Source organism: Homo sapiens, chromosome 1 (assembly GCF_000001405.40).
Source record: "Homo sapiens chromosome 1, GRCh38.p14 Primary Assembly".
Taxonomy (NCBI): Eukaryota; Metazoa; Chordata; class Mammalia; order Primates; family Hominidae; genus Homo; species Homo sapiens.
Genome location: NC_000001.11, coordinates 234,116,496 through 234,142,708, shown reverse-complemented (window position 1 = coordinate 234,142,708; position 26,213 = coordinate 234,116,496). Strand labels below are relative to the sequence as shown.

The 26,213-nt window shown below is 41.6% G+C and overlaps 1 protein-coding gene across 1 annotated transcript in view, besides 1 other annotated feature; it reads right to left on the bottom strand.

Moving 5' to 3' along the window:
• Window positions 1-26,213, bottom strand: part of SLC35F3 (solute carrier family 35 member F3) — a 419,836-nt gene that overhangs the window by 181,803 nt on the left and 211,820 nt on the right. The window lies entirely within an intron of this gene.
• Window positions 10,714-10,883: an enhancer, noted in NCBI's record as "experimental_6338 CRE fragment used in MPRA reporter constructs". NCBI's record gives its function as "activates a minimal promoter by MPRAs in K562 erythroleukemia cells, with activity observed for the introgressed 1:234267657 variant allele {active_cell/tissue: K562}" and the evidence as "EXISTENCE:reporter gene assay evidence [ECO:0000049][PMID:34662402]".

The following is a 26,213-nucleotide window of genomic DNA, read 5'->3' as shown; positions in this document are numbered from 1 at the left end:
CCAACCATAGGGTCCCCCCATATAGCGACACATCATGCGTTTTTTTTTTGAGGCTGGCATGAGTTTTATCAAAGGCACAGAGCCTGACCCCACTTCCCAATACCAAACTGTTTTTCACCAAATGCCCCTGGGCAGTAAATATTTCCATTTAATGAAAATGAAACTCCTTTTTTTGAGCAAGCATAACGTCTAATTCCAACAGGCTGCTCTGCACCCCGAAACCCTTTCCAGAGGTCTCAGTCATTCACTGCAGCAGCCCTCTCCACCGCAGTGGACAAAACGGCTCTATTCCTAGTCTCCCAGGCTGCTCAGGGCCGTGGGCATGAGCTCCTTTCTTGTTCATGAACAGCATCTCACCAGAGCCTGGGGAAGCCAACCTTTAGTGCAAAGAGTCCAAGAGTCCACTGATTAGTTCCATGGTCTAAACATCTTTTTTTTCGTAAGCTTTATTTATTATTCTCCCTGCAAACAGTTCCTACTTTAAATGAATTCTGCAAGAACAGAAGTGTTAAGTGCGATGTCATGTTGATGTCCTCCTACGCCCCTTGCACGCACTCAGAACCATGTCCTAGGTTGTAATCCTCTCTTTACTCTGCCTTCTAGTAGCATGAGCTTAGTCTTTCGATGATCTTCCTTCTTTCATTTAATAAATATTTACCAAGGGGCTACCATCTACCAGGCAGAGGGGGAGACAGTGGTGAAGAAGAGAGATGCACGCTTCGCTGCATCTAATGGGGGACAAAGGATAATTACAATACAGTGAAATAAGTGATATGTCAGTAAGGCACTTTGGGTGCTCTCAGTGGATGGCATGAGTGAGGAGGGCTGGCTGCCTTGAGGAAAAGATCCTAGGATGAGTAGGTGTTATCTAAGCAAAAGAGTTAGGGCTAAGGGCATACAGAAGGAGCCAGAGGAGTATTTTAGGCAAAAGGTTTAACATGGGCAAAGGTGTGGGAGGTAGAGAGGACTTAGCAAGTGGTCCGATGGGCAGAACTCTGATGTGAGCTGAAGCGAGTTCTCCAAAGATAAGCTAACATGGTGGGCTGAGTAGACCAGGAGGCCTTTGTGAAGTAGCTTGGAATTTCTCTGAAAAGGCAATGTAAAGCCACCGTTAGGAGGATAGATATCAGACTAAGTGTTCTTAGCACAAAACAAAATGCGCAAAAGAACACAAGGAAATTTTTGGAGGTGGTGGACATGTTTAGTACCTTGATTGTGGTGATGTCTACATACAGGTGTATGTATATATCCAAACTCATCAAGAAGTATGTACGAAATATGTGAAACTTTTTGTATACCAATTAACCCTTAGTAAAGTTTTAAAAAAGGGGGAGAAAGGGGAGTTGTTCACCATGCAGGACCTGTGAGGGGCAGGGTCTAGGGCCCGGGTCTCCACATGCACCATGTAGAGCTGGAGCCATACTGAACATTCCAAGAAGCTATTGAAAGGACATGACTCATTAGCTTATAAAACTCCCTAATTATCCCAAGTTTTACTTTTTCACTTATCATAGACCTTCTTATGGTAATATATTACCCAATAAAAATGCCAGGGAGGACACCATCTGCATGTCAAACAAGAAGAGGCTGACTGTCATTCTGCAGGGCCCATCCTCAGTGACTGCTTTGAAAAATGATCTTTGTTCCACTACATGGTCGCTCCATAATTAGATTGATACCCTGTGGAAAATGCCTAATGATAAATGTAATCTAGTCCAATTAACAGCTGCCATGACCCTTGTCATTCTTCTCTCTTTGAAATTTTCAAGCATACACATCAAGGATTCTATAAGTAAACCCTTTTGCCAACCCAGGAGAATGGTGACTCCTTGGCAACTTGAGGCTTAAATTGAATTTCATTTGGGCAAAATTTACCAGGGTAGGCCTGTGAGATAAACAGGGTCAGCCTCTTTTTATTTTTTAAATGAGCAAGGAGGTTCCGTAGCTTGCCTTGAACCTGACTTCGAGATATACAAAGGAGGGGTGAGTAAGACAATACATCGCATAGTTTCCATTGCCGAATTTTTATTATGAGCATCCCCCTGAGTGTTCGTCTGCCGTTTCTGAACTTTTGTGTGATTTACCGAAGCCTAAGCGTCTAGATTGAATGGGGAGAAGCAGATCAGAGGATATCATTCCACTACAGTAGACACCCTTATCTATGGGGATATGTTCCAAGACCCCCCACTGGATGGGTGAAACTGGCCAGTACCGAATCCTGCAACTACTATGTTTTTTTCCCACATACATACTTACCTATAATAAAGTTTAATTTATTCACTAGGCACAGAGAGAGATTAACAAGAACTAATAGTAAAATAGAACAAATATAATAATATCCTATAATAAAATTTATGTGAATATATTCTCTCTCTCAAAATATCTAATTGTACTGTACTCACCCTTCTTCCATGTGATGATGCGAGATGATTAAATGCCTGCGTGATGAGATGAAATGAGATGAGATAAATAACATAGGCATTGTGACGTAAATGGAAAAATTCCAGAAACGGCTCATAGGTTTAAAATTGTGCTCTGTTCTGAGTAGTGCGAGAGGATCTCTGCCATCCTGCCCAGGATGTGAATCACCCCTTTGTCCGGCATATCCATGTTGTATACACTACCTGCCCATTAGTCACTTAGTAGCCAGATCTGCTATCAGATAGACAGTTGCAGTATCTCAGTACTTGTGTTCAAGTCACTTACTTTATTTTATTTTATTTTATTTTATTTTATTTTATTTTATTTTATTTTATTATTTTGAGATGGAGTCTCGCTCTGTTGCCAGGCTGGAGTGCAGGGGCACCATCTCGGCTCACTGCAACCTCTGCCTCCCGGGTTCAAGCGATTCTCCTGCCTCAGCCTCCTGAGTAGTTGGGACTACAGGCGTGTGCCACCATGCCTGGCTAATTTTTGTATTTTTAGTAGAGACGGGGTTTCACCATGTTGGCCAGGATGGTCTCAAACTCCTGACCTCATGATCCGCCCACCTCGGCCTCCCAAAGTGCTGGGATTACAGGTGTGAGACACCGCACCGGGCCAAGTCACCCTTATTTTACAAGACTAGTGATGTCATATTGTCTGACCGCACTTGACCACGGGCAACTTGACCATGGAAAGTGAAACCAAGGATAAGTGGGGACGACTGTATTCTTTTTTACGCATGGGAAAGGAACAATTTTATGTAAAAGGACGATATAAAAACTATAAGTGTGTCCCATATTACATTTTCATAGACTATTGTAGAGTGCCTTTACTTAGAGGATTTTTAAAAAGTATAATGTGTCTATCTTTTTGGGATCTACAGTATTATTTCAGGAAGAAGTGGAGCTACAATTTGCGTTGTCCATTTGAGCCTTCTACACCTATCCCACCATGTCCTGGAAGAGATATCAGTGATAACATACTACATTTCTTAAACATTTTTTCCTAATGTCTCAAGAAAGGAACAACTACATGCAACTACATCTAATAATAAAGTAATAGAGTTTAGTCTTGTGACCACCAACTTTTACCCACCTTAGAAGAAATGGCCACTTTGGGAATCATATAGGGTTGTTAGAAGGACATAAAGAGGTTGTCTTCCTCAGTCTGTCTGACCTCAGTGCCACTTTGCCTAAACAAAAGTCAACAGTAGCCACAGTCAAGAGGTACTGTATATAAGTGCTTACTGTACAAATAGTCACTACCAAAAATGCTTTGCAAAACTCTTTAATCCTCACAACAGCCTCAAGAAACAAGTAGCATCACACCAGAAAGATGACAAAACTGAGATGAAGACGGAGAAGAGTAGGATTTGTTTGGCTTGAGTCAAGGCTCTTAAACAATGGCTATATTCTTTCTTCCAAAGCAACAAGGCCAGGGGCAGTGGCTCTCGCCTGTATAATTCCAACACTTTGGGAGGCTGAGGAGGAAGAATCACTTGATGCCAGGAGTTCAAGACCAGCCTGTGCAGCATAGTGACACCCATCTCTATAAAAGTAAAAATAAAAAATTAGCTAAGCATGGTGGCGCACACCTATAATCACAGCTACTTGGAAGGCTGAGGTGGGAGGATCATTTGTGCACAGGAGGTCAAGGCTGCCGTGAGCTATGACTGCACTCCAGCCTGGATGACAGAGCAAGACTCTGTCTGTAAAACAAAAACAAGTTCACTTCTTGATTCTGTGTGTTTTGGTATAAACTCTCCCTGCCAAATCCACATAAATTGAAACTGTGCCCTCAGCACCTCTTCTCTTGGTCCTTCTCAGTGAGGAAGAGGAAAAGCTGGTCTTGAGTGTGCATATATTTACCCCTTCTTTGCTGGAAGGTATCTGAGAACCATTGACCCTCCTCCTCCTCTGCCAGAATGGGCTGGTGGAAACCGAGAAGCCCCAGTATTAACTGAAGATCCATTGAAAGGGAAAGTAATGTAGTTTCAGGTGTATTGTCTTATTTAATCCTCACCACAACTTCTGAGATAAGTATTATAGAGATACAGCCATACAAAATTGACAATATGCAATTTATTTTAACCTACAAAAGTGGCAATGTTATATAGTGTAACCTAAAGTTGTTTTTAAGATAGATGTTGAAACTGAACTTCAGGTCTGACTCCAAAGTACACAGACATGGTATTACTCCTGCTTACTGTGAAGAATATCTAAGCAGCAAATGCTTCAACTCCTTTTTTCAAAGTGCTTGCCATATTGTTGGCAACTTTCTTATTAACTCTCTCTCTTCCATTCTTTACACTGAAAGAAACAATGACCATCACCACCCTCTGCCCCACTCACCCCAACCCAAATCTAACCTTTTCAACCCCTCTCGCATCCAGCCTTCTTTTTCCTCGCCAGTCAGATGGGGACCATTTCTCTTTCCTTCCACCTAAATACTTAAATTCATGCCCACCAGCTCCTGCTGCTGTCTTCAGTGGAGACCCTGTCTCTCCTGCTAATTTGCAGCTACTTGCTGCGACATGTGCTCCTGCTTTCTTTGATGTCTCTTTCCAACGCATACTTTCAGCTCCATCTTCGGTTCTCCTCTCCACAAGTCTTCCCTGAGCATGTAACTAACGACACGAAGATGCCTCTTACTCAGGATTGACTCCTTCCACCTTTACCTGACAAATCCTCAAGCTGTGTCTCTCTCTCTTTCCTTTCATTCAAAGCCAAGGTTCTTGAGGAGGCGTTCCATGAGCTCTCTTTAAGTCCTTTACTTCCCATTCCTTCCTCAACCCCCACAGACTGGCTTCTGCCCCCAACACAAGCTCTATGTGCTCTTCCCATGATCACTGATGCTCTGGGGATTGCTAAGTCAATGATTGCTCTTTGATGCTTATCTCTCATGCCTCACAAAAGCACCTGACATTCCTGACCACTTTGCCTCTCAGGCTTGCCCACTGTTGATCTCTGAATTGCCCTCCTGCCACCTGGTTTTTCTGCCACCTCTCTGACTGCTCTTTCTCAACCTCCTTTGCAGGCTTCTTTTCCTCACCAACCTATAAAACATCTGCTTTACCCAAGGTTACACCTTCATTCAAAAGCATTCATTGACTATGTCTTGAGCACCAATTTTGTGACAGGTACGTGTGCATGCATCTGTTACATGGCCCTGTGTTATTTGGATTGGTTACCTTGTCCAGTTCACTCATGGTGCTTCCAGTCCCTAAAGCTGGAGCCATGTCTACTAATTCATTTCATCAACTCCAAAAGGCAGTACCAAACCGGGAATCCAGTAGGGCCCCAATAAATATTTGCAGAATGAATGCTGAAGAAGGTTCACAAAAGGAACCCTTAGAGATACATGCATTATTTTAATCAACTACCAAAGCGGTGGCCCCTGTGGTGAGGGTCATGACAACTAAAGCACTGGAAGACTGATCTCTGAGATCCACTCTGGGCTCTGTTCGAGCCTAAGCTGTGCACACACCTGCTGCAGGTCAACAGGCTGGCCTGCATCTGCACATAGGCACCTGGCCTGAACCTCAGACTCAAATCGGGTTCTTGCCTCAAGCCTCTACCTGATACTCTCATGCGTTCATTAATTCATTCACTATATGTTTGTTGAGTAGTTATTTTGTGTAAGAAAGTTGCCTATGTGCTGAGAAAAACTTTATGAAGTTTATAGTCTAGCTGGGGAGACCAGACTCAACTATTTGTGGGAATATCTGTTTAGTGAATTACAACTGTAATATGCACCATTAAGAAAGATAAAGGGAGCTGGGTGCTGTGGTACATGCTTGTAATCCCAGCTACTTGAGAGGCTGGGGTGGAAGAATAACTTGAGCCCAGAAGTTCACAGCCAGCCCAGGCAACATAGTGAGACCCTGTCTCTAGGAAAAAAAAGAAATAGAAAGAAAGAAGGAAGGAAGGATAAAGAAAAGAAAAAACAAAGAGGGAAGGAAGGAAAAAGAAAGAGAGAAAGGAGAAAGAAAAATAAAGAAGAGAGAAAGAGAGAGAAAGAAAGACAGAAAAAGAAAGAGAAAGAGAGGAAGGGAGGAAGGAGAAGGGAAGGGAAGAGAAGAAAATAAAGGAGGGAAGGGAGGGAAGAAGGAAGAAAGAGGGTGGAGGGTGCTATGGGGAAAAGCTAAGCTGTACTTGGGTTTCAGGGAAGGCTTCCTAAGAGGTAACCTGTAAACATCTCTGAAAACCAGAGATTCTGTTTCATATTCTTCACCTTTCATATCTATAAACAGTTGTTAAAATTCTCAAGTATATCTTTTTGCTTTCTATTCTCATCCCCAGTGCCCTTGATCCGGCCCTTGGTATATGGCACGGTGCAGAAAAGAGTTAACACAGCGGAGGACTGGGACTGCCCTCCTTAAAAAGGCTTGCTTGCAAGTTTGGTTCTTGGCTGGCATCAGTGAACTTGGATCTCAGCGGTGTTCCCACCATTCCCTGACAAGCTATGCCTAAACTATTTGCCTCAATAATATGGTTTATGCTGAACACCTGCTTTCCTTTCAGGAGTCTGGAATGCCTCATGCAAGGCAGAGGGCGCTTATGTGACCAGCTTCAGTAAAGACCTGAGTACTGAGCCTCTAACGAGCTTCCTGGATAGACACCATTTCACAGGTGTTGTCCCAGCTTGTCGCTGGAGCAATTAAGAGGGCTCCTGGAAACTTGCACCTGGTTTCCTCTGGACTTCCCTTTGCTGATTTTACTTTGTATCCTGTTGCTGTAACAAATCTGAGCCCTGAGTATGACCATATATGCTGGGTCCTTGTGAGTCCTTCTTGCCAATCAGTAAACCTGGGGTGGGCTTGTGACCCTGAATGCAGGTGCCCAGTTAATTTCTTCTCTGACACTATTCCATATCCTGATGCATCCATTCATCCATTCTTTTTAATTTTTTTCATTTTTATTGGTACATAATAGGTGCATATACTTACAGGTACATAAGATATTTTGATACAGGCATACAATACATAACAGTCACATCATGGTAAATGGGGTATCTATTACCTCAAGCACTTGTCAATTCTTTGTGCTACTAATCATTCACTCTTTCATGATAACTAAGTGCCACATGTTGGGCTAGCTGTTCACTGTATAGCCTTTCCACCTATCTGTATGGCCTATTCCTTCACTCTATTTAAGTCTCTGCTCAATTACAGAGGCCTTCCCTGATCAGCCTGTTTAAATGCATGTCCTCATTCTCTGTCTTGTTGGTTCTTGCCTGGGATGCAAATTAGAAAATACCAATGCTGGCTGGGCGTGGTGGCTCAGGCCTGTAATCCTAGCACTTTGGGAGGCCGAGGCAGGTGGATCACTGAGGTCAGGAGTTCAAGACCAGCCTGGCCAACAAGCTAAACCCCGTCTCTACTAAAAATACAAAAATTATCCGGGCGTGGTGGCACATGCCTGTAATGCCAGCTACTAGGGAGGCTGAGGCAGGAGAATGGCGTGAACCTGTGAGGCAGAGGTTGCAGTGAACCAAGATTGCGCCACTGCACTCCAGCCTGGGCAACAGAGCGAGACTGTCTCAAAAAAACAAACCAAAAAACCCACAAAAAAACCAGTGCCAGGGCCCACTACAAAGGTTTTAATCCCCTTGTTCTTGAGTGGGGGCCTAGGCATCATCATTTTCCAAACCTTTCTGGTTGATTTTAATGTGCAGGCAGGGTTGAGACTGAGGCCTAAAACTCTGTCCTTTTATCCAGTTTTATTTTCCTTTATTGTACTGTTACCTGAAACATTATGTATAAATTTATTTAAAAATTATATATAATATACAAATATAATCTATATTTTATATAGATTAAATATACATATTTAATTTGGATATTTATATAATTTACACGAATATACATTTATCTACCAGAAATTAATACACATGCATAATGAATGAATTTATATTTATATACACACATAAAGTAATAAATATTTAACACATTTGTATAATTTGTTTGTATATATAATTGCATATAATTATTATTAATTACAATTAATATATAATTAATTATATATATACAATTTTCCCATTAGAAAATACACTTTACAAGAGCAGAAACTTAGTCAGTTTTGTTCACTGCTACATCTTCAGTGCCTACAATAGTAATCGCTATATAATGGATGGTTAAAATAAATATTTGTTAAATGAAAGAACAAATGATTCTCTTTGGGATGGCATTTAAAGCTCTCCATGATCTGAAAAAGCCAACTTATCTTGCTATTTTCATGTACTTCTCTGACATATGGTCTATACGCTTTATGGATTATTTTGGCTCTACCCCATTTATCATATACTAATCAGAGTCTTTCTATACTAGAGCCATGTGGTCACATATTCATCCACCTCTTCCATTAGACCAAAGACTCTGTGTCTCCCAGGGTTTACTTAGAACAGTCTCTTGTTCATAGCAGGTGTTCTTTCTGTGAGTTGCACTGAATGATTTCTGGATTCATAAAATCAAAGAGAGGTCAGAGCAAAGATAATTAAGCCGCTAGTTTTAGCACTACTCATTACAAGGGATAAATAGCTCACCAGAAAAGAGGGTTATGGCCTCTATCTTATTTCTAACTTGGTACCTTGATTAAAATTGCCCATAGTTAAAATGCCTGATGTCACTGTTCACTGCATGCTTTGCTTTTTCCTAAATTTAACTCTTGATTATCTGGGCCAGTGTTGAGAACCTGGTATAGAAAATAGAATATTACAGGTGTTCCAAGTTGCCAAAGTGGTGATGCCAGCACTAACCCCCATGTCAGATGCCTCTGTTGGTCATCTGCTGCAGGGAACTTGACTATGAGCTGCTGGGGACCCTGCAGGCCTCCTGGAAGGGGACAGCATTTCTTCAGTTACGGCTTGGTCTTCCATGTAGTGTGGATAATCTTCACTTAGGCCTCTAGATGCCTTTAAATACGAATCAAAGAAAAGCTCTCCTAGGAATTTAAGAGACATTTCATTTCTGTGGGTCTCTTAAAAACTTACATTGTTTTTCTCATTGTGGAATGGATCTTGAGGATAATTATTCTTTGGGGAAAAATGATCTTATTACACAAATTATTCTAGTTACTTTGGAATGAGCTTTAAGTAAATGAAAGAGAAATTTGCTGTAATTCTTTGAAAAGACACTCCCCACCAAAAAGAAAAAAACTGAAGGAGAGATAATATTATGTGCAGAGTCAGGCATACTGCATTAAAATCCCAGCTTCACTACTTACTAGTTTTGGATCCTAGACAAGTTACTCAACCGCTCTGTGCCACAGTTTCCTCATCTATAAAACTGGCACAATAATAGTTGCTTACCTCATCAAGGTATTATGAGTGTTAAATGATTAAACACTTTGAACAGTGTCCAGCACAGAGTCAGCACTCAATAGTTGTTAGCTGCTGTTTCTGGCTTCCACTAGAAATTTTGCGTGGAATGTTCATATTTTGGAGTGGGAAGGCTCTTTATAAATACAACACCATGGATTGAAATCATAAACCACCATGAATAAAATTACCAGAACCATGCAAAATAAACATTTTTGCAGCACAGAATAGATTTTTAATATGTAAAGAGATCTAACATTTCAACAATAAAAAATTAACACTGCAATAAAAATCAGCAAATGATTTGAAGAGTTAATCCATAAATTAAAAAATATGGTCCAAAAATATGAAAAAGTTTTATATAAACTTACATATTTAAATCGCAATACACAATGTTTCTTTTGAATCAAACTGCAAAGATTAGATAAAATGTTAATACACAATGCTGCTGAAAGTGCAGGGAAATGAGCATGCTTATGCACTAGTAGGAAGTCCAACCTTTGGATGCAAACTTGGCCGCACATGCCAAAAATGTGAAATTTTGTATATTCTTAGCAATTCTACTTCCAGAAATTATCTTAGGAAACTAATTATGGATGTATACTAGTGCTTATTGTACATTGCTTATAGCAATGAAGTATTTAAAACCCCTAAATATGTAACAAAATGGTATAATTTAAATTAGCAATGTACGAGGCAGAAATTACAAATCATGTTGAAGCAGGATGTTATATAATATGAGGAAATGTTCAAAAGGAGAGAAGGGGAGTGAGAGTGAGGGTCGGGGAAGAGAGAGACAGAGCATGCAGGAGAATCTGACTGCCTGAGCCATCTTATCTGACTTCCATCTTGTTAGATGAAGTAAGTTCATTTGCTATTAAGAGATGTTCCAAACCTCCTATTACTTTCTTTCTGACTTCTGTGTTAGGCAATATTTGTGATGTTTCCCATCTCAGCTGCTTCTAGGGAAAAGAACTGCACAGCCTCTCCTCCACTCCACTCCCCGAAGTTTATACATAGTCTAGAATAAACAAAATCTTTGTTTTCACAAGAGAACCTTATTATTATCGCTTATTATTTGCTGAGCATCAACAGTTCTTTAAAAAAAGTGGTAAGTGATCTGTTCTAAATTAGGCTAATACACGCCTGGCTCCCAGAAACACAGTCACCTGCCAAACGCTTTCTAGTCTTTGGGTCTATTAAAAGCTACTCCCCTCCAGACTCCTCACTCCAATCAGGAGAAAGACACACAGTGAGCAGCATCTTTAAATTTGCTGCAGATTCTAGTTTGTTTACGACGTGCTCCCTAACATCAATGCTGAGAGATGTTGAATCCCTTCCTTGCTCGCTACAACTGTGAGCTCAGACGGATGTATGAACATCACAGTCTTTAACTCAAGTTCCATGTCCGGTTTACTTTTGACCTTGGCTTAAGTTATTCAGCAACACCGTGTACATAAATACTCTATAAGGATGTTAAGCAGGAAGACAGCTGCTGCTGAGACTGGGATGGGGGGAAGGGGGGCTGGGTGAGGGGCTCATGAGTTTGGTGCCAGATGTGCCATGGAAGCTGGGTAGGGCCACAGCCTTCCTATGACCTTCAGATTACAATTCCAGGGCCCAGCTACCTCTACGGAGAAGAAACAGAAACATAGATATGCAAATATTCACTTAATTATTTCCCATATTTTCCTAAGGAGATCCTACCACAACATTAATAAGCTTTTTATTTCAGTATAATATGCACACAGGAAAACGACAAATTTTAAGCATACACGGCAAAAATAGAACATCACCACAACCTCAGAAGCCCCCTCATGCCCCTCTTAACTATTCCCTCTTTCATCCCAAAGTTAACCAATATCCCCACTTCTAACATCGCAGATCAGCTTTGTCTCTCTTTGAACTTTATAAACATAAAATTGTACAATATGTTTTTGTTTGTGAGGTTTTTCTATGTTGTTCCACTTAATGGCGTCTTCATTTTCATCCTGTATAGTATTCCTGTGTCTGAATATATAAATTTTTTTTATCCATTCTATTGTCACAAAACAGTTTGGTTGCTTCCACGTTTTAACTATTATGACTAATGCATTTTGTACCTATTTTTGGCCTGCATATACATGCATTTCCATTAGTTTATACTTTGGCGTGGAATTTCTGGGTTGTTTGGCATAAATACATTCAATTTCAATAACACTTTAAAACATTTCTTTACAAAGTGATGGTGCCAATATATGCTTCTACCAGCAGTGTATGAGAGTTTCATTTGCTCCACCTCCTTGCCCACACTTGGTACTGAGAGGTCTTTCTTTTTTTTTTTTTGACAGAGTCTCTCTCTCTCTGTCACCTGGGCTGGAGTGCAGTGGCACGATCTCTCGGCTCACTGGAAGCTCCACCTCCCGGGTTCACGCCATTCTCCTGCCTCAGCCTCCCAAGTAGCTGAGACTACAGGTGCTCGCCACCACGCCTGGCTAATTTTTTTTTTTTTTTTAGAGACGGGGTTTCACCGTGTTAGCCAGGATGGCCTCGATCTCCTGACCTCGTGATCTGCCCGCCTCGGCCTCCCAAAGTGCTGGGATTACAGGCATGAGCCACTGCACCCGGCCGAGAGTTTTTTAAAAATTAAAATTACTGTGTGGGTGTGTAGTGGTATAAAGTGTGATTTATGTATGAATTTCCCTGATAGCAACAATTGTTGAACAAATTTTCATATGCTTATTGGCCATTTGGATAACTTATTTTGTAAAATACCTGTTTGGTTGTTTGGTCCATTTTAAAATCAACTTGTTTGAATTCCTATTGTTAATTTGAAGGAATTAATTATGTGTTCTGGGTAAGTCCTTCATCAGATGTATACATTGTAAATATTTTCTTGCAGTTTATGGCTTGTGTTTCTAAATGGTGTCTTCGAGTTTTTATATTTGATGACACCAACTTACTACTTTCTTACACTGTTTGTGTCCTTTCATAGGAAGATTAAAGATATTTTCTTATGTTTTCCTCTGGAGGTTTTATAGTATTAGCTTTTATGTTTAGGTCTGTGAATCATTTAGAATTAATTTTTGTTTATGGTCAGGTGTAGGTCAAGGTTAGTTCCCCCCCATATGGATATTCATTTGTTTCAGCATCATTAATTAAAAAAACATTCTTTCCGTATTGCATTGTATTGGTGCCTTTGTCAAAAATCAAGTGAGTGCAGGTGTGGATGTTTTTATGAATGCTGTATTCTTTTCTATTATCTATTTGTCTATCCTAACACCAATACTACACTGTCCTAATTAGCGTAAATTTATAATTTTTGGAATCTGGTAATGTAGTTATCTAACTTTGTTCTTGGCTAGTCTGAGTTCTTTTGTATTTCCACATTCAATTCAGAATCTGTTTGTCAATCTCCTAAAAAGCCCTCCAGGATTTTGACTGAGATTTCATTGACTTTATGGATCAATGTTGGGGAAGTGACATCTAAATGTTGAGTCTTCCAAACCATAAACATGGTGTATCTTTTCATTTATTTAGGTCTTCTCTAATATTTTTCTGCAATCTTTTGTAGTTTTGTAGTTCTCATCAAGAAGTATTCTATATTTTTTGTGTAATGTATTGCTAGGTATTTGGTGTTTTTGAGTCTATTGTAGTATTACTTTCTTTTAGATTGTAACCATTCTGGTAAAGGTATACACATCTCATTGTGGCTTCAATTTGTATTTCCCTGATGATCAATGAGGTCGAGCACCTTCTCATGTGTATTGGCCATCTGCATATCCTCTATTGTAAAGTGCCTATTTATGTTTTTAAGTCCTGTTGGAGGTGTATGTATTTTAAATATCTTCTTCTACTTGCCTTCTTCTAGCTTGCCTTCTTTCTCTATTAATGGTGTCTTGATAAACATCAATGCAAACCAACGACTTCACTCTGTGTTCAACTGCGACAAATCAATCTCTTCTAGTGCTGGACAAAAACATGTTTGTGTGGAATTTACCACAAGGCTGGATGTGTATTTACTGTGTTTTATGGACAATTTAATTGATTTTTCAAGAGCAACTTTGATTACAGTGATTTTTTACTTGCTCAATTACCTTTAGAACCTGGCCCCCAAGTTACGAATCTACTGCGGTGTCCCCGATTTTCCGACAGAGTGAAAGAAATGTGATGGAAAGTGCTTGCTCTCCAGACATTTAAAATTTAAGCAAAGAGAGATATGTCCTTTTCCTTCTCTCTCCACAGATCCTACATCATAGCACCAAGGAACTACTATAATTCCCTGGACATAACATGCCTTTGCATACCCATGCCTTTTCTTAAGCTCTTTCCTTGGCCTGGAATGCCCTTTCTTACTTGATCTCAAACTATCATCCCCTCTTCATGCATTTCCCTCACTGAATTCAGTCTCAGCTATGTCTCTGATGCTGCTTTTGCTCATTTCCAGTTCTCAGCACTCCTAATGCTCCACCTCCGCCATTCCTCACCTCATTCTCATCCCTCACCCACCGTCCAAGATGCTAACTTTCAGAGCAGGCATGCAACTGGCCAGCACCTTCTAACCCAGAGACTCTTCAGCCCTGCTTCACCCCTGGTCAGCCTCACCCTGAAGAGCTCATTCCACATTAACTGTGGCTTTCAGCGCCTGAATCTTCTATTGTCCTTCGCCAGGTGATGCAGAGACAGCAGAGGGTAAAACATGGCCCTGCTGTACACATGCATCAAACAGCTGGAAGCCAAATCAAAACATGCCCCAGACACACTAGCTCTCTGGAAAGTGTCTTGGACCTTCTCGCTTCCTTCCTGCTCCCACTGTGTCTCTCAATATATTCAGTTCATGACCTTTCTAGATCTTACTCTTCCTTATGGTCTTAATGCCTGTTTGTCGGCATCACTTTGAAGACGCAGCCGGCACTTAACTCCAACTCTTCCCACTCCTGATAATCATCTTGCCCCTCTGAGTCCTCTCCCTGGGCTCCCAACCCAATGTCAGGTCCTCAGCGTGTGTCCTTGTCCTCTGGAGGGAGCAATGGACAGATAATTTTCAATACACATTGGAGATCACCAGGTATTGGTGATTCATGTCATGTGCATATGTTCATATATATCTGTCTGACCTTTAAACAATACTACTTTGACTCTTCTAGTGCATTCCTAGGCAACACATAATCTTCCCCAATTTATGCTAAAGGGGAACATTATCATGCTTATAAATCTATTCTAATGTAAACTCGTGTTTAATTTATTTCCTTCAAAGAAAATCTCATCATATTTTTAATACTCAGCTTTTATTATGGTAATACTTGCATATTGAAATACCTTAGTTATCATCTCCCAAAGGAGGCTTTTAAATCAGTCTATTATGACATTCTCTTACATTAAAAAAACACTCCTTGTTCTACAATTTCTATTTTACCTAGAGCCAGGAACATCTGCCCCTTGAGCTGCATCGAATGACAGCATTATTTAGCTGGCTTGAATCACACCCAGGAGATGGCTTTCTATACAAAAGGATCTCACCCATGCAGCAGTTCCTGGCAGCACACGATGTAAGAGGCATTGAACTTGATGCCCCCAACTCGAAGGGAGGGGGTACATGTCTATTTCATCAAAATAGGTGCAATGACATGATAGAGACATTTACATAAGATGAGATAAAATAATGAATGCAAGAGTACTTCATAAGCCCTGAAGAGTTATGCAAATATAAAACCTGGTTATTAAATAGCTGTGAATCACAGACAGTTATTAAAGATTGGTAAGTGAGCACAGAAAAATTGATTATTCCAGTCAGGGGCATTGAGTATTCAATTAGGTATCATAAAGGACCTTAAAAGATGAGTAGGCAGCAATAAAAAGGAATAAACTACTGATACACACGAAATGGATGATTCTCCAGGGAATTATGCTGAGAGAAGAAAGCCAAGCCTAGAAAGTTGCATGTTGTAGGATTTTACTTATATAGCATTTCTGAAATGAAACATCAAAGAAGGCTTGGGTGGGGTGGCTCATGCCTGTAATCCCAGTGCTTTGGGAGGCAGAGGTAGGAGGATTGCTTGAGGTCAAGAGTTTGAGACCAGCTTAAGCAACATAGTGAGACCCCATCTCTACACAAAAATTAAAAAATTAGCCCAGCACGGTAGTGCGTGCCTGTAGTCCCAGCTATTTGGGAGGCTGAGATGGGAAGATAGCTTGAGCCCAGGAGTTCAAGGCTGCAGTGAGCTATGATTGTGCTTCTGTACTCCACTCCAGCCTGGGTGACAGAGCAAGACTCTGTATCAAAAAAGAAGAAAGAAAGAAAGAAAAGAAAACATTATAGAAATGGAGAGCACATTGGTGGCTTCCAGCGGTTGGAGAAGCAGGTGATGTGGTAGGAAGAAGATGGGTGCACTTATGAAAGGGCAAGAGGGAGCCTGCGGTCATGGACCTGTGTGGTCTTGACTGTAGTGATGGATACATAAACCTACATAGGTAATAAAATCATGTAGAACTAAATACACACACACACACATGTAAAACAGGGGCAGATCAGTGGATTGTATCAATGTCGATATCCTGGTTGTCACATGGTACTACAGTTTTGCAAGATGTTACCATTGGTGGAAACTGGGTAACGGTAACTGAGATCTCTCTGTATTACCTCTTACAACAACATATGAATTTACAACTATTTCAATTAAAACTTTAGCTAAAACAAAAGATGAGTAGGGCTTTAATAGGTAGAGATGAGCTGGATTTGGCTGGTGGGGAGAGGAGAAGGCTTCAAGGGGGACGGAGTGGCTTGGGTAGAGAGAGATGCGTGAATCTGAAAGATGCAGTTAGAAAATAGTCCCAGCAACAGAAAACAATAGTTCCTATTTATTGAGCATAAAGAATGGACATAAACTTTTTCACACAGCCAGTCATTTACTACCATCACAACTCATGAACTGGGTACTATTAAAATCCCCATTCACCAGGGACTTGAATGTCTTTAGAGTCAACAGTGTGACCCTAGAGCGGCGGAGCTCCTTGCTCAGGATTGCAGAGCTAGTGCGCGGAAGCACAGAACTGCAGAGACTGTTCTTCATCACACACTGCACGGCTCCCGGCCCAGCAGCGCTAAGTGGTTCTGAGTCACTAGGGAACGAGGGGTCCGAGGGTTGTGGTGCAAGATGAAAATGGAGAGGCAGGTATATGCCGGAGCTGAGAAGGCGGGGAGTGCCGTGCCAAATAATTTTGACTATAATATGTGAACAATGCAGAGGATGAAAAATTTCTCTGAAGTGTCACCGTGATCAGAGAGATGTTCTTTAGGAAAATAACTTTGTTGGCATTCTAGAAGGGGGATTGAGAAACAGAGACTGGGTTAGGGACAGGGCAGTCAGCACAAGCCCGGACCGGTCAGGAGCTGGGAACAGCTGGAGGAACGTGTGGACTGTCTGGCTGCTCAAACATTAGCTGGCCCTGCCTGGGGTGGGCTATACCTCCCGGCCTCACTGACAGCAGGTGCAGCCATGGACTTAGAGCGCCTCCTGGGGGAGGAGTATACTTGAGTACGTGAACTCAAGAGCAGCCACGTGATTTGCTTTGGACATTGAAATGTGACAGGGGATGATCCGTCAGCCCGGGTCCTGGATGTAGCGCAGGGAGGAAGCCCATTCAAAATGGACATGGAGCTTAAGTGAGAAACAAGCTTATGTTGTTGTTAATTGTTGAGATTCGGGGGTCGTTTGTTATATCAGCGTGAACTGGGCAATTTGGCTGATACAAGCAGGATAATTTGGGGTAGCAAGAAGGGACGTGAGTGACTGGCTCAGGTGTGAGGCTCTAAACTGAGCAGTGTTGGTCTCATCACTTGACACTGTGTCCTAGATATGAGGCGGGATAGGATGGTGACACAAAGGAGCCACACTGGATTATTTTCTGAGACATTCCCCTATTCAAATTTCAGTAGAATAAGCTATAAAACACAATGCCTAGAATCTGGCACAAGGCACTGCCACCTTGAAGATCACCAGATGATCACTTACAAACCAAAAGAAAGCTGAGAAAGGACAAGTGTGTGCAATGCATGCATGGACACATGCGTGTACACATAGACACAGAGTCTCCATCACCAGAATTGTGAATCTTGGAATTCACAATTTCTCTCTTGTTTTTAAAGAGATGGAGTCTTTCTCTGTTGCTCATAGCTCCCTGAAACCTCAAACTACTAGGCTCAAGTGATCCTCCCACCTCAGCTTCCTGAGTAGCTGGGGCTACAGGTATGCAGTACCATGCTCGGATAATTTTTTAATTTTTTCGTAGAGATGGGGTCTTGCTATGTTGCTCAGGCTGATCCTGAACTCCTGGCCTCAAGTAACGCTCCCACCGCAGCCTCCCAAAGCACTGGGATTACAGGCATGAGCCACTGTGCCCAGCTGGAATTCAGTTTCTTTAGCTTCATTCTTTCCCTAGAATTCTCCCTCATCTCTGTTTTCCTTGTCTCTGTTTTCAGTACATATATGGTGCTAAATGATAATAATTTATTTCAGCCCCTAGGGGAAGAAAATGATCTTGGGTTGGTGGAGGAAGAGGAAGAAGAAAGTCAGACTTGACAGTTTCTCCCTAAATCTTCTCTATTCACCTTTGAAAATGTATAAATGTGAGCTGTGGGTGAAGCTTAGTGGGAATACCGATTAGAAGGCATTTGATGAATAATTGTGAATTCTGAGTCTTGGACAAAATGTTCTCCTTTACTGTCCCACTTAACAGGACCGAGTTACCTAGAAGGCGTTTGGGAACTGGCTAGGAGAGCACTGCTCTTTGGGTGGTTTCTTGCTCATTGACACTACATCATTCGTCTCTGGCTGGTATCCAGTAAGAGTTCAGAGTTGTTGGTAAAATGAACACTGAAGACTCTCAGTGGGAAAGCTCCATGTCCTCTACGATATCATATCTTTGCTTCTGGCTCTGTTTCCTGTGACATCATCAAACTCACAGATGGCTGCCTTCAGAGAGTGTGTCTGAGATATCAACCTCACAGGAGTGAGCATTATGGGGACTGAGCTGGTTGCTTGGCTAACTCAAATCACCAAGGCGAGTAAATGAATAACTGTCTCTTCCAGAACAAATGCTGTCTTAAATCACAGCTGTTAAAACTACTCACCAGGGCCCTTTGTCCCCAGAGCTGCAGGCCTGAAGATGGGCTTTTAGATTCTTTTCTTACATCAGCTTGATTTTTAAAAATTCCTCTTCACAGATAAAGGGAATATCATTGCAAGAAGTGTTGGATTAGAAATCAATGCTCAGCTGGGCATGGTGGCTGATACCTGTAATCCCAGCACTTTGGGAGGCTGAGGCAGGCAGTTGTCTTGAGCCCAGGAGTTCAAGAATAGCCTGGGCAACATAGCGAAACCCTGTCTCTACTAAAAATACAAAAAAAAAAAAATTAACCAGGCATGGTGGCACACGCCTGTAGTCCCAGCTACTCGGGAGACTGAAGTGGGAGGATCACTTAAGCCTGAAAGGTCGAGGCTGCAGTGAGCTATGATTACACCACTGTACTCCAGCCTGAGCGATAGAGTAAGATTGTGTCTCAAAAAACAAAACAAAACAAAACATGCTTAACACTGGTTATGGCCCCAGATGCACAATACTATTTGTGCTACCTTGCACTATAAAAATGCTTAAACAAATTTACAAGAGAAAAACAACCCCATCAAAAAGTGGGCAAAGGATATTAACAGACACTTCTCAAAAGAAGACATTTATGTGGCCAACAAACATGAAAAAAAGCTCATCATCACTGATCATTAGAGAAATGCAAATCCAAACCACAATGAGATACCCTCTCACTCCAGTCAGAATGGTGATTATTAAAAAATCAAGAAACAATAGATGCTGGAGAGGCTGTGGAGAAAGAGAAACACTTTTATACTGTTGGTGGGAGTACAAATTAGTTCAACCACTGTGGAAGAGAGTGTGGCAATTCCTCAAGGATCTAGAACCAGAAATACCATTTGACCCAGCGATCCCATTACTGGGTATGTACCCAAAGGATTATAAATCATTCTAATATAAAGATACAAGCATATATATATTTATTGCAGCACTATTTATAAGAGCAAAGGCTTGGAACCAACCCAAATGCCCATCAATGATAGACTGCATAAAGAAAACGTGGCATGTATACACCATGGAATACTATACAGCCATAAAAAAGAATGAGATCATGTCCTTTGCAGGGACGTGGATGATGAAGCTGCAAGCCATCATTCTCAGCAGACTAACACAGGAACAGAAAACCAAACACCACAGGTTCTCATAAATGGGAGCTGAACAATGAGAACACATGGACACAGAGAGGGGAACAACACATACTGAGGCCTGTTGGGCCATGGGGGACAAGGGGAGGGAGAGCATTAGGACAAATGCCTAATGCATATGGGGCTTAAAACCTAGATGATGGGTTGATAGGTGCAGCAAACCACCATGGTACATGTATACCTATGTAACACACCTGCACGTTCTACACATGTATCCTGGAACTTAAAGTAAAATTTTAAAAAAATGCCCCAAATATGATGCCATTTGAAGTCATTTTCTAGAATCATTACTCAAATATTGGTATAGCTATTTGCCTATATATTTAAAAAGTACTTTTCATCTCTGGTGAGCATGTTGTGGAAGACACAGATTTAAAAAAGAAGAAACGGAATGCCTGGTCAGACGTCAAAGTTTTCAGATGTATCATTACAACACATGAATGCTTTTGATTAACCTGCAGAATTCTTAATTACTGTAGGGATAATGTTAAAGTCAATATTAAGCTTTTACACAGTTGGTGGGAGTGTAAACTAGTTCAACCACTGTGGAAGACAGTGTGGCAATTCCTCAAGGATCTAGAACTAGAAATACCATTTGACCCAGCGATCCCATTGCTGGGTACATACCCAAAGGATTATAAATCTTGTTACTATAAAGACACATGCACACATATATTTATTGCAGCACTATTCACAATAGCAAAGACTTGGAACCAACCCAAATGTCCATCAGTGATTGATAGACTGGATTAAGAAAGTGTGGTACATATACACCATGGAATACTATTCAGCCATAAAAAAGGATGAGTTCATGTCCTTTGTAGCGATGTGGATGTAGCTGGAAACCATCATTCTGAGCAAACTATCATAAGGACAGAAAACCAAACACCACATGTTCTCACTCATAGGTGGGAATTGAACAATGAGAACACCTGGACACAGGGCAGGGAACATCACACACCGGGGCCTGTCAGGGGGTGGGAGGATGGTGGAGGGATAGCATTAGGAGATATACTTAATGTAAATGACGAGTTAATGGGTGCAGCAAACCAACATGGCACATGTATACATATGTAACAAACCTGCATGTTGTGCACATGTACCCTAGAACTTAAAGTATAATAAAAAGAAAAAAAGAAAAAAAAAGCTTCTTTAATTATTAATGCTTTTCATTACTATTCAGCTTTACTAAGCATCTGACATTTCCAAGTCTTTCTTCTAAAATATATTATATTTACTCTGCATTAAGAAAGTAATTTTTCGGCTGGGCGTGGTGGCTCATGCCTGTAATCCCAGCACTTTGGGAGGCCGAGGCGGGCGGATCACGAGGTCAGGAGATCGAGACCATCCTGGCTAACATGGTGAAACCCCGTCTCTACTAAGAAATACAAAAAAATTAGCCGGGTGTGGTGGCGGGCGCCTGTAATCCCAGCTACTGAGGAGGCTGAGGCAGGAGAATGGAATGAACCCGGGAGGTGGAGCTTGCAGTGAGCCAAGATTGCGCCACTGCAGTCCAGCCTGGGCCACACAGCAAGACTCCGTCTCAAAAAAAAAAAAAAAAAAAAAGTAATTTTTCATCTTCAAATTGATAAAAATAAAATGACCAGAACTCAGAAAAAAAAATTATCATGGGCTATTTTTTTCTATTGAAGAGTTGCAAACAATGGTTAAAACTCAAAAGTTTGTTCCTAAGATTTTTAAATATGTCGCATCCCATGCTTGAATCCAAAAGAGACCAAATGCTAAAAAACTGCTTGAAAATTATACTAAGACACATAAAAAACATTTCAAGGCATTAGTGAGAATTGATTAGATTTAGCAAATGCTAGATTTAGTGAATGCTTAAAAGATCCCTCGATTGTAAATAAAGTTGATCAGAATTTTAAGTAGGACTGAGTGGAGAACTGCAAACAGATTGGAGTGTCTGGCAGTGAGGCGTCCTGCAGGGCATGGCGGTGACTCATATAAGGAGGTCCAACTGCCCCTCCTTGGCTGAGAAGAAGGAGACCAAGGGCTGTCTTGAGCTTCACGCTCTTGCTGCTCAAAATGAGGCTGATAACGACTGTCAAGCCAGGTGTGATCTTTTGTACTTTTGTGTAATTATGGCCCCAGATGTACACAGTAACTTGGCTACTTCTGGCAACAACAGCTTTGTGCCTTGAACTTGAATGCTTGGCCATACTGGGCAATCAAAGGGGAAAGAGTGCAATGTGCATTAGAGGCTCAGAGGAACTGCGGTTCTCAAAGGATTCAAATGTATATATGGACATGCTGAGCACGGTTTCTGAATTATCACAGATGCCCAGCAAATGCTAGCTGATCTGCTATTATTGCTATTATTCCCAGAACAATAAAAAGTCCTGCAGTTTATATTATAGCACTGTCAGCACTGACTCCCAATACTTTAACTTAAGAAGATACTTCACATTTATTTTCATTGCATACAAAATGGAAACCCCAACTTCGATTCAGTAGTGATAAGAATGTAAGCCGAGTGAAATTATGCCATTTGAGATGCCTCAATTTTATCTCTAAGAAACACAGAGAGGTCACCTAATGTCATTCTGGCAGTGGTCCCCTTGCCCACTGCTGGAGAAAATGGAATTCCAGTGTTTTCCAAGTTCTGGGAGGCAAAGCATGAACTGTCCCTTCTGCAGCCTGCACCTCCAGCTCCCCATGCACCTGCCAGCACAGTGGAAGGTGCCATGAAGCCACAAAGGGGCTTCTACTTGGCAAGGCCTTCTCAGTTCAGGGCTGGTGCTCTGACAATGGCAGCACACCAAAAACAGCTTCAACCATGGGAGAAAAGTGTTAGAGGCTGTAAATTGAGTGTGTGTGTGCGAAAAAGAAAATAGTGCATATTGCTGCGTGATGGAAGTCTATTTGTTATATAATAGGCAACTATGCTATTTTCAGCTTCTCATCTGCTACTTTTAGCTGTTTTGACTATCCTGTTCATTTCCCCACCCCTAATACTAGCTGGCACAGATAAAACAGAGTGCAATAGTTAAGTATCTAATATAAGCATCTAAAACAGGATTATTTCTACCAGGGATGCATGGGAGCAATTATCTAATGATTAGATTAGATGAAGTGTTCACAAAGGAAGGAACAGAGCTTCGTTTTCCTTTCAGCTCAGCCTATGACCAAGAAAGGACTCGCCTCCCTGCATTGGAAGCTTTTGTGATGCTACCGTTATGAATGGGAAATGTCTATCCAACGGCGGACCCATCATGCTATTTTAAACTTTTTAATAACAAATTAGCTATAATTTGGAATTAGCTTTGCCACGAGACAGATTTTTCATGGTTTATTTGGTTTGTTCATCCCTGATGTCTTCATAACATTGTGGCAGTTAAGAGATTTTTGTTTGAACGCTTTCAGAAAAAAAAAAAAAAAATCACCATGAATTGAGAGGCCCTATAAGGCTGTGGAAAAGATGGAGGCTAGTGTGCAAAGGCCCAGGCAGCAAAGCATTTGTGTGTGTGGTAGGTGGCATGACTGCTCACAAGTATTCACTCCCCTTCTCTTACCCTTACACACCCCACCCCTGCCATGTGATTTCTGCCTCTCTTATGGAAAGAGCTCAGTCATGGGATGTGCTGATTGATGTACAGGGATCTAACATGTGCCTTGTCTGAGCAGAAACTTCAAGAGGTGTGATGGGTTCCTGCCAGCTCTCTTGATCTGTCCTCTGCAGCAAAGCCAACTAATACAGAATGATTTAGATGATTCACTCCAACTTAGCTCCATTTTTAGTACCTTACTCTAAGAATATTCAGGTAGTGCAAGAGGTTTTGTAAAAAAAAAAAAAGAAAAGAAAAAAAGAAAAAAATAATTTGCTTATTTGTCACTAAAGGAGAAGCAAATGAATAGATTAAATGGACCTTTTTGAATCAGAAGAGTTGGTTCTAGTTCTAGTTCTTCTGAATATCAGCGTGTGACCTTGTACAGGTCATTTCACCTCCCTGAGCCTCAGTTTCCTCATTTTAAAAAGGGAAATAAGAATTTTGCTGCTGCTTACCTGACACCATGGCTAAATGAATCACATAGAGCCAGGATTGGCCAACATTTTCTATAAAGGGTCAGAGAGTAAATGCTGGAGCCTTTGTAAGCCATATCTGGTCACTGTCACTCTTCCCTCTTCCTCCTTTTCCTCTCCTCTCTCTCCTCCTCTTTCTTCTACAACCCTCTAAAACTGTAAAACCCATTCATAGCCCGCCAGCGATATGCAAACAGGCCTTGGGGCAAAGTTGAACTTCCAGCCAAAGTTTGCTGACCCCTGAATTTGAAAGGATCATTAAAAGGTAAAAAGTTAGGGATGGGGGTTGTGTGTCAATGGAGATGGAAATCCGACGATACAAACTCTTCATACAAAATGCTTGTTTCCAGTCCCTGCCTGATGTCTGTGGAAAGGTGGGATAAAAGTGCATTACAACAACAACAGATCAGGGTAACATGAAGTCAGGATGCTATTCGGTTACTTAGCATCCACAGTGTATTCAAGTTTTTGCAAAATGACACAGGAAGCAGTATCTTGGAATTGCTATTATTTTGTCTTCCGAAGTCTAGATTTTTAAAAATAAAACAAAGCACAGTGTTAACTAGCAATCCCAATTGAGTCTGGATATCCCATGTTTTATCACATCCTGGCATAATGAAATTAACTCTGGCCTTAAAGGTTATGAGCTCTTTCTGTGTATCTCACAGTTTCTTGTGGTTTTATATATATATACACACACACACACACACACACACACACACACACACACACACACACACACACATATATAGTCTTTTTTTTTTTCTTTTTTGAGACAGAGTCTCACTCTGTCACCCAGGCTGGAGTGCAGTGGCACCATCTCGGCTCACTGCAAGCTCCGCCTGCCGGGTTCACACCATTCTCCTGCCTCAGCCTCCTGAGTAGCTGGGATTACAGGCGCCCACCACCACGCCCGGCTAATTTTTTGTAATTTTAGTAGAGACGGGGTTTCACCATGTTAGCCAGGATGGTCTGTATCTCCTGACCTCGTGATCCACCAGCCTCAGCCTCCCAAAGTTCTGGGATGACAGGCATGAGCCACTGCGCCCAGCCTGTTTTTTTTTTTTAGACAGGGTCTCACTCTGTCACCCAGGCTGGAGTGCAATGGTGCGATCTCGGCTCACTGCAACCTCCATCTCCCAGGTTCAAGTGATTTTCGTGCCTCAGCCTCCCAAGTAGCTGGGATTACAAGGGTGTGCCACCATACCCAGCTAATTTTTGTATTTTTAGTAGAGACAGGATTTCACCATGTTGCCCAGGCTGGTCTGGAAACTCCGACCTCAGGTGATCTGCCCACCTCAGCCTCCCAAAATGCTGGGATTACAGGCGTGAGCCACTGCACCTGGCCTCTTGTATATTGTATTAGGGTGAATCTTGCATGAAACCCTTCAAACCAGAGCTGTTTGGGGTCAACATCTGAATATAGCACTCAGAGCTAAGAGTCATGCTTAGTGTCAGCAGGGGTAGGCCCAACAAAGGGATACTTAGTCCTCGCTTTTTGAAGCACCAGAAATTCTACAGCTTGGGTTACATAGATGCTCTAAGGTAAAAATATTAACTTTCTCTTACTGAATTTGGTTTGCTTTTGGTGACAAGAATAAAGACAGGTAATAAGAAGGCAATCTACCTTGGAGTAATTCCATTAGTCACTAGATCTCTGTTTTTAAAGACCATCCTCCATAAGATAAACCATTGCTCCTTGGAGACTTGGCTGATTCCAGGGCTGGGGCTGAGATAGTACAAAATAAGCCTGGACATCTTGTTGCACTGGAAAGTAAATCATTGCTCAAAGAATGATGGGAATATGTAAAAAGAACAAAACCCCCAGCTTAAAAGGGGCTCTAGGCTGGGCGCGGTGGCTCACGCCTGTAATCCCAGCACTTTGGGAGGCCAAGGCGGGTGGATCACTTGAGGTCAGGAGTTCATGACCAGCCTGGCCAATATGGTAAAACCCTGTCTCTACTAAAAATACAAAGAAATGAGCCAGGCATGGTGGCATGTGTCTGTAATCTCAGCTACTTGGGAGGCTGAGGCAGGAGAATTGCTTGAACCTGGGAGACGGAGGTTGCAGTGAGCTGAGATTGCGCCATTGCACTCCAGCCTGGGCAACAGAGCAAAACGCTGTCTCAAAATAAATAAATAAATAAATAAAAACAAAAATA